The 9,205-nt window shown below is 40.3% G+C and overlaps 1 long non-coding RNA gene across 1 annotated transcript; it reads right to left on the reverse strand.

The window, feature by feature from the left end:
- Positions 1–3,600: 3,600 nt before the first annotated feature.
- Positions 3,601–8,152, reverse strand: LOC107985890 (uncharacterized). The gene is made up of 2 exons (XR_001739519.1): positions 7,975–8,152; positions 3,601–4,826 (listed from the first exon to the last, which is right to left on the reverse strand). It is a non-coding gene; the product is annotated as an uncharacterized LOC107985890 (long non-coding RNA).
- Positions 8,153–9,205: the final 1,053 nt, after the last annotated feature.

A 9,205-nucleotide genomic window follows, 5' to 3' on the forward strand; every position in this document is an offset into this window, starting at 1 on the left:
TACACAATCTTGGTATCATACCCAGAGGTCAAATAAGAGAGTCTTGATTTTTTTTTCTGAGGGAAATATTGTTTAGAAATTTCTCTTCCTGAGAGAATTTTTTGTTTCGAAGTGACCAGAAAGGATGAGTTATTGAACAACTCTTGTGTCATGATCCAATGAGCAAAGAAAAAGCAGTGCTCCAATTACCTATGAACATTCACGAAGACAAGTGCAATCAGTTGCAGATGATTAACCTGTTCATAATCCAGATATAAGAAACAAATCTTATCATTCTGGAGCCCTGGGGCAAAGGAATTACATTTTCCAAACTAAGCTATGAATAAAAAAGATGATTAGAGAGGAAACATCTTGGCCAGTATTTTACATGATTCTTAACTCAAGGAAACACAACCCTCAAAAGGCTTTCTTCTTGTGATGCAGATTTATTCCGAGAGGAATAACAGAACCTTTGCAATATTGAATATTAGGTAATTAATTTGGTATGTCCCTACACTACTTTTGAGCAATGAGTGCCAGGCGTGAGCTTAATGGTGTTACATAGGAGGTGATATGGTGCAATGCAATGGGTGACCTTTTTCAGCTGGTACTTCAAGCAGCAAAAAATTCATTGCATGAAAAAAGACTTAAAATGCTCCTCTCAGTATCACATAGCAAAGAGGACACTGAATGAGGTAGAAAGAAGACAGATTTAAAAAGGGTTTGAGAAATAAAGTATTTTGCTGCCATTTTTATTAACACATAGTCAAGCTGTCACTAATCATTTGCAGAATGCATTGGAGGGAAAGGGAATTTTTCATAGGTGTAAATTGGTAAAGTTTTTGTTCCTCGAAAGTGGCAAGTGTAGATAGACCATTATTTTTTCTGTGATTAATAAGAGACTTGTAGTTAAAATCAGCCATCTCAATGCAGAAGGCTTGAAACTGTAAGATCTGGACATGGAGAGGGGGCTAGAAGATAATTCCATTAATCATATTCTTTAAAAGTTACCACTAGTTCCTTAATGAATAGGAAGTAGAGACTAGATTCAGGATTCTTTTTAGTACATTCAATGTAAATATTAACATCATTGTAAATATATATCATCAATATAATATTATCATCATTGGATATTATTTAATTATTCTCAGATAACTTTATTTTATTTTTAAGACATGATTTTTTAGAGCACTAGAGCACTTTTAGGTTTACAGCAAAATCAAGATGAAGTTACAGAGATTTCCTATATACCCCCTGCCCTCCCGTGCATAACATTTCCCATTATCCACATCCCCACCAAAGTGGTGCATTTGTTAGAATTGATAAACTTACACTGACACATCACAATCACCCAAAGTCTATAGTTTACTTTAGGGTTCACTCTGGTGTTGTATAGTCTTTGGGTTTGGAAAAAATGTATAATGGCCATCAGTATACTATCATACAGAGTATTTTTACTCCCTAAAAAATTCTCTGAGGTCCACCTATTTTTCTCTTCCCCATCCCTAACCCCTGGTAGTCGTTGATCTTTTTACTGTCTCTATAATTTCACCTTTTCCAAAATGTTATATAGTTGGAATCGTACAGTATGTGGCCTTTTCAGATTGGCTTCTTTCACTTTGTAATATGCATTCAAGGCTCCTCCATGTTTTTTCATGACTTGAAATGTAAAGTTTTCATTAGTAAATCCATTGTCTGGATGTACTAGTTTATCCCATTCACTTACTGAAGGACATCTTGGTTGTTCTCAAGTTTTTGAAATTATACACAAAACTGCTATAATCATCTGTGTGCAGGTTTTTGTGTGAACGTTTTCTACTTCTTTGGGTAAATACCAAGGAATTTGATTATTGGATCATATGGTAAAGATGTATTTCGTTTTGTGAAAGAAACTACTGAACTTTCTCCCAAAGTGGCTGTACCATTTTTCATTTCTACCAGCAATGAATGAGAACTCCTGTTGCTCCACATTCTGGCCAGCATTTGGTGTTGTCAATGTTCTAGGTTTTGGCCATTCTGATAAGTGTGTACTGGTAGATGATTTTATTTTTATCTTCACTGAGTTCTATATTAAATTATTGCCTTAGTCTATTTTCTGCTTCTATAACAGATTGCCTGAGTCTGAGTAATTTATAATGAACAGAAGTTTATTTGGTTCATGGTTCTGGAGACTGAGAAATCCAAGAGCATGGCACTGGCATCTGGGGAGTACCTTCATGCTGAGCCATCCTATGGAAGAAGGTGGAAGGGCAAGCAAGCATACCAGACAGAGGGAGTTGGCCAAACTCACCTGGGAAACCACCCCCACAATAACCAACCCACTTTCACAATAATGTCATTAATACATTTGTGAGGATGGGACCTCATGGTCTAACTGTCTCTTAATGGTCCCATCTCTTAATACCATCACAACGGCAATTAGATTTCAACGTGAATTTATGAGAGGACGTTCAAACCATAGCAACTATCAATCTAGATATTTCTGTTTTTCTGCAGATACCAGAAATGGAGAAATCCTATCTGGTTTTGTGCCCAGAATATGCATAACTGGGTAGATAGTAGTGCTTAGAAAATTGAGTCTATGTATACATTACAAAGGCATCAAGTCCCTGAAATGTAAGGTAGTATCTTATATCCTTCTGCATTCCCATCTACACTCTCCATCCCACAGGCACAGAATTATAACGTGTGTGCTTACAGACACACAGAAATATAATTCAAATATGTTTGATCCAGGATAGCCATTGAGAAGTTTCTTTACTCTCCCCCAGCTTCCACCACAAACACACACCACACACACACACACTTTATGCTAGCAGGGATTCTAAAAAGACTTGGTAATATTTACATTAATATAGAGTTTAATTCTTTTCAAATCCTTCACATATTTTGTGCTAACCTCAACCCTCTGAGGTCCAAAAAAGCATTGCAATCCCTGTAGAGTAGAAAAGTAAGGCCTGTGGTGGCATATTGCCTTGTCCAACATTTCATGTCAAAGTAATGGCAGAATCAACACAAGAATTCAGGTCTCTTCACTCTCAGACTTCTCTGTGTATCACACTGCTTATCCTGGTGCAATGGCCAGGTTTCTCTTTTGTTCCTGCTGCTGGAAGAAAGAGGTATGCAAAGCTATCATTAGCAATATGGAAAGCAAAGGAACTGATTGGCAAATACTGGTAGCCACATTAGATGAGCTTATGAAGATAAGACCTTCTGAATCACATAACACGTTGCTTAGTGAGATTGTAAAACATTTCAAAAAAACAAAAGAAAAAAATATTGGCACAGAAAATTATTCAGAGAATTGGTAAAGGGCAATTTAAGATAGACATCAACAGCGAGTGGTGACAATGAGGTGGGGTATAGCAGGGCAGAGCAGAGAAGACTGGAATGGGCTTGAGAAAACCTGGATTGTATTTGTAACTACATCACTTACTGTCTTCGAGATCTTGAGCAAGGTATTTAGCAAGGTATTTAATCTCTGCATGCATCAGTTTCCTTGTATGTTAACCTGCTTGTCCTCATCACAAGGTTCTGTCAGAATGAAATGATAAAATCAACATAACTTTTACAATTCTGAAGTGCTGGACAAAGGTAAGAAATAATACAGCAGTACACATAGTAGGTACTTAGCAAACATTTATTGAACTAAAAATTCTATTTCAACTGGAATTGAACACCGCAATGCATGGTGATTTCTAAGATTATATGCCAATAATTATTGCTTTAATGGAAGTGGCTAAGTGAATTAACCTACTGCCAGAATTATGGATCCAATGACATTGTGGAAAATTGTTATTATTCCTCTGCCTGAGATATCTGGGTATGTACTGCAGTAACAAACATGCAAATTCTGGCCAACAGCCTGGGTGTTTTTGCTACTTGATAAAACTGGAATGCTTGAATACGGTTTTTCCATTTGAAAGACACATTACAAAAATCCACCAAGACAAGTTAAGTAAGTGTCTCTGGCAGAGGAATTAAACAAATGTAGAGAGTGAGAAACATCAGTGCAATGCTAGCTATTTTAGTGCTCTATTATCACCCATGGAGATTCTTAATGTAGTACGAAAATTCCATGATTATAAATTCCAAATAAATGGCTTGCTAATAGGCTATCAGTGTCCATATTGTTAAGAATAGATTAATCTGAATTTTGAAAACTTACTAACCAGTCATCACAAAACTTCAGGTACTATGTGTTATATACATATATATTAATAAGAAGCAACCACTATAGGAAAGAATAGTATTGCTCTTTGTGTAATCTTATAATTTCACCAACAATGAAGTCTGTGCCAGAGAACATCTTGTCTGTAAGTGTCTTCCTGTGGGTGCCAAATTGCTTTAACTTTAACCTCTGTGCTTTAACTTTAATCTCTCTGTAGAAAAGAACCACCAGTTCTTTCCTACTTTACTCTATTGCTTTGTCAAGAAAAAAACAGGTGTCACCTATAATTTCTGCCCACTTAGATAATCTTTAGGGTCTTCTTGAAAACTTTCTTGGGAGCAACATCCACTAAACATCTTTGCTCATAAAAAGTATCAAACACTTTAATGTACAAGTTGACCCCTGGCCTGAGGTATGTCTATGTTTGAGAGATTGTTTCGTTTCTCCAAGGGCATGGCTGTTTGTTTGTTGGTTTGTTTAGTAATCTCGAAGTGCATTTTCATCATCTAGCATGAGTTAGGTTGTTGCAGCCTCTCTGGAGCAGTTTAGAGGCTTTCTGATGAACGGATCCTGGGTAACTGGACTCAGTCACCTAGGCTGCATCCACAGGCCTTCCTTCCTCTATCTAAGACATCGGAGATTACTTCATTCTGAGCAGTGGCTTTCAAATGTCAATCTGCACAACAAAATTAGAGAATAAAAGCAAAGTTGTAATTGTTTTATTGGGGCAAAATATACATAACATGAAATGTATCGTTAAGTATACAGTTCAGTGGCACTAAGTGTATTGACACTGTTGCGTGACCATCACTACCATCCTTCTCCAGAACTCTTTCATCATCCCATACGGAAACTGTGCCCATTAAATGCTCCCTCCTCATTCCTCATCCCCTCCATCCCTGGCAACCACTATTCTATTTTCTCTATGAGTTTAACTACTCCAGGACACTCACGTAAGTGGAATCATTTAATATTTGGACTTTCATGACTGACTTATTTCACTTAGCATAAAAATGTCCTGAAGTTTCATCCATGTTATATAGCATGTCACAGAATTTCCTTCCTTTTTAAGAATGAATAGTAGTGCATTTTATGTATATACCACATTTGGCCTATCCGTTCATCTTAATGGGCTGTTTCCACCTTTGAGGTGTTGTGAATAAGCTGCTATGGATAAGGTTGTGGCAACATGGTAATTTTTTTTTTTTTTTTTTTTTTTTTTGAGACAGAGTCTCACTCTGTCGTCCAGGCTAGAGTGCAGTGGCATGGTCTCGGTTCACTGCAATGCAACCTCCGCCTCCTGGATTCAAGTGATTCTCCTGCCTCAGCCACCTGAGTAGCTGGGCTTACAGGTGTGCACCACCATGCCTGGCTAATTTTTGTATTTTTAGTAGAGACAGGATTTCACCATGTTGGCCAGGCTGGTCTCGAACTCCTGACCTCAAGTGATCCGCCTCCTTGGCCTCCCAAAGTACTGGGATTACAGGCGTAAGCCACTGCACCCGCCCAGCATGGTGAATTTTTTTTTATAAAGCTAAATGTGTTTAAAGATCTGTACTTCCAGTTTTTTCCTTGGTATGAATCCACCTTTTTGTTTATGAAATAATGTTGACAAAAGGTGCTATGTCTGAACGCTTGCGTCTCCCCAAAATTGATATGTTGAAATATAATCCCCAATGAGATAGGATTAAGAGGTAGGGCCCTTAGGAGGTGATTAGGTCACCTATTGAGGGCAAAGCCCTCAAGAATGAGATTAGTTCTCCTATAAAGAGGCTCAGGGGAGCTTGTTTGTCCTTCAGCTGTGTGAGGACACAGCTAGAAGGTATCAACTATGAGGAATGGGCCCTTATCAGACCCCAAATCTACCAGCACCTTGATCTTGGACTTCTCAGACTCTGAGACTTTGAGAAAAACATTTGTGTTGTTTATAAGTTACCCAGTTTACCTACTATTCTGGTTGGAGCAGCCCAAGCCGACCAAGACAGCAGGTGCTAGTTCCTTCCCCCTTACTTGGCAAAGTAAAATGTTGACAGCCCTAAGTCAAGCTCCTATTTAGAAATTTAACTCGTCTGTGAAATACCAAAGTCTGGAAAACACAGAAATTCTTCTTAAACCTAGATGAGCTCCAGAATCATCTAAAAAGCATTAGGAAATGGAGTTCTCAGGAGCCCGCACTAAACTAATTGAAACCAAATCTCCGGAGGTGAAGGTTAGGCCACAATGCCGCAATATTATTTTAAAGCTCCTGAAGTCATTCTGGTTTATGGCTAAGTTGAAGAATTATTTATGGCTTTTCAGAACTACCCTACATGTCAAGCAAGATGTATCAGTTTGGTCAGTGGCTACCCCTCTGTCATCACCAAACCTATCAGGTGAGCACGACCAAATTTCAAGCATGTCCGGGACTACTAACAAGATTGCCAGGTGGAATTGAGACTGCTTAAAGATTTAATCAATTGTCTGCAGTGCAGCTTCTATTTCCAAATCAAAGCTGGAATTTGTTTGTGTGGTTCCTCCACAGCTGTCTGCACCTGTTCCTTAGGGAAAGGAAGAATCAGTTTCCATGATTTCTGTCTTTTCCTCCACCTCCTCAGAGTTCTTGAACTTGGCCAGGCCATGCTTCCAAACTACATTTGGCCCAAATCTTACAGTATCTAGTCTCCCTGCTTTTGCTCTTTTCTGAAATGATAACCCAGATTGAGCTGGGTTTGGTTTCATTCCCACATTTATTGATTTTCTTTCCATAAATAAATAGCTATGGGGTCTATTATGTGTCCAAAGAGTCAATAAAGCACATAGGGAAGCATGTCAAAAATGACGAAGAAAGTTGAATCCAGCAAGAATCTTTCCAGTGCCACCCATGGAGCGAAATCATCCACATTTGCCGTTCACCTTCACTGCCTCCCAAATACCAAACATCAGTCGCTGGCATGTGATTAGTGAGGGAGCTCTGAGTTGATTAAGTGCGGTGACATTTTGAAAAAAGCAGGACATTCCTCATTATCCGCAAATCCGTGGGTATGAGAGAGCTCTCTCGTTCACATATTAGCATTTCCACATCCGTCTCCTCTTCTCTGCAACCTCTAGCAAGGCAGCCTGCCTTATTAGTAACATGTTTGGGATTAACAGCTTTGCTATTGTGTTAGCATCTCTGTCATTACCCAGGGAGGGAAATTGGCAAGTGCTAAGCCGGTTACTAACAGACCTAAACAGTGCCCAGGATGGAATTCACACATGGAAACCAACCTCAAAGCCAAAATGTCCCCAACTACAAGAGAGGTGTATGCATCTTTAACAAAAATGGGCCTCATAATTAGCATAGGACAATTTTTAAGCATGCTAAAACTCTCATGTTGCATTAGAAAGAAATGCCATTTAGGCATTTACAAAGTAATGGAATCTCATTTCCATCTGCTCCAGCCTCCTTTCAACACCTCTCCCCATAGCAGTGCCAAAAGGAGAACAATTCTAGGCTAGCAGCATGTACTATTTGAGAGCCATCTTGGAGTCATGGATTGGGAGGGGCTAGACCCTGAAAATGGCTGGAAATATTAAAGTGTCTGGTGGTGCAGAGTGGGCCCATAGGCTCAAGGGTTTGTGACCTGGCTTTCTACAGCCATGAACTCTGGCCAAAGTCCCTGGCCAGCACAGGGTCCAATGGAGGGAGCTCAAGAGTAGGAGGTGGGCCAGATGTGTGTGCACCTCCAGTCCTTCTGATGGGATGCAACCATTATGGGAACAGTCCCATCCCTGGGTCACTTTCCCTTAAGCCACCTTAGACTGGAGTTGTAAGCAGGAGACACAGGTGCTCTAGAGAAACTCACCCATTATTGTGGGCACATGCACATAGTCCCCATCTGGCTTATCACATGGTGCTGCTCTGGAGTGGATGCAAAGAATAGAATGAACACCTCTCACTGATAACTCTCTTCCTCTCTTAATGACGACCAGCTCCAAGTCACAGAGGCAGACACTGAAAGTCTGGCAAAAAAAAAAAAAAAAAGAAAAGAAGGTTTCCTAGACCACTCTGAGACTAAACTCAAGAATCAAGCAAGGGGTGTGCTCTATTTCTAGCTGAAGGTTCCAGCTTCAAACAAGTCTTCCTCCAGCCAGGGTTCTCAGGACCTTCCCAGCTGTTGCTGGAACGGGTGCTCATTCTGGGTCATGATTTCTCGTGGGGCTGTGGACCTTTTGGCCCCCAGTTTCTTCCACCACTTTCTCCATAGAGCAAAACATCCTTCTATTGTTAGAAATAGGGCTTACATCCAACACCCCAATTTTAAAACCAAGAGGAAACCCTGGATGACCTCAAACACCTGTGTCAGAGAGCCTGCCATGAGGCTGGGATTCTCAGGGGTCAGAATGATCAGGAAAGCAAGGAAAAGAAAGGCCGGGCGCATGACTTAAAAAGCAAACTATGTTTACTTCAGAATTTTGCCTGGGGCAGGTCCTATTTCCAGTTTCCAGATCTGGTAACTGAACTTCGTGAAGCAGAAATTTCAGCACTGGGTTTGGCAGGATTTTCTCTGATTTGTGGGCTTTCTTGGCTGAAAAGTCTTACAAAGCAGTAATAACCTAGCTTCACCATGCAAAATATTTAACAAATCACTTTGGTAAAAAGATTAAAAATGTATGACATGGGGGCCAAACCCCCAATTCTAGGACATCCCTTTGTACTTTGGAACATGAGGTGTGTGTCCAAGTGTGCGGGGTCTCAGATTCACTCTCAGTTTACAGCCAGGCCTGAAGGCAACTCACCTAGTGCTTCCCTAGCTCTCACTCTTTCCACACTCTCTGTCCCTTCCCTGAGTGCTTTCCCTTGGGAAAGGGTGAGAGGCGGTCCTTTCTGCGGTTGGGTGGATGTGGGTCAATTTCAACACAGCCCCTCTGGGTGTCACCCGACTGCTTCCGGAAGTACATGCATCCCCCACCAACCCCACCACCAGCTTTAATTTGCCTGGTTGGTACATCCATTTCTGAGTCCCAGAAAGTCACGCTTTGTCCTATCTCCCTGCAGTGTAACTAGATGAGAAATCCCCAAATAGGTGGCTTCCT

The sequence above is a fragment of the Homo sapiens genome, chromosome 2 (genome assembly GCF_000001405.40).
Source record: "Homo sapiens chromosome 2, GRCh38.p14 Primary Assembly".
Taxonomy (NCBI): domain Eukaryota; kingdom Metazoa; phylum Chordata; class Mammalia; order Primates; family Hominidae; genus Homo; species Homo sapiens.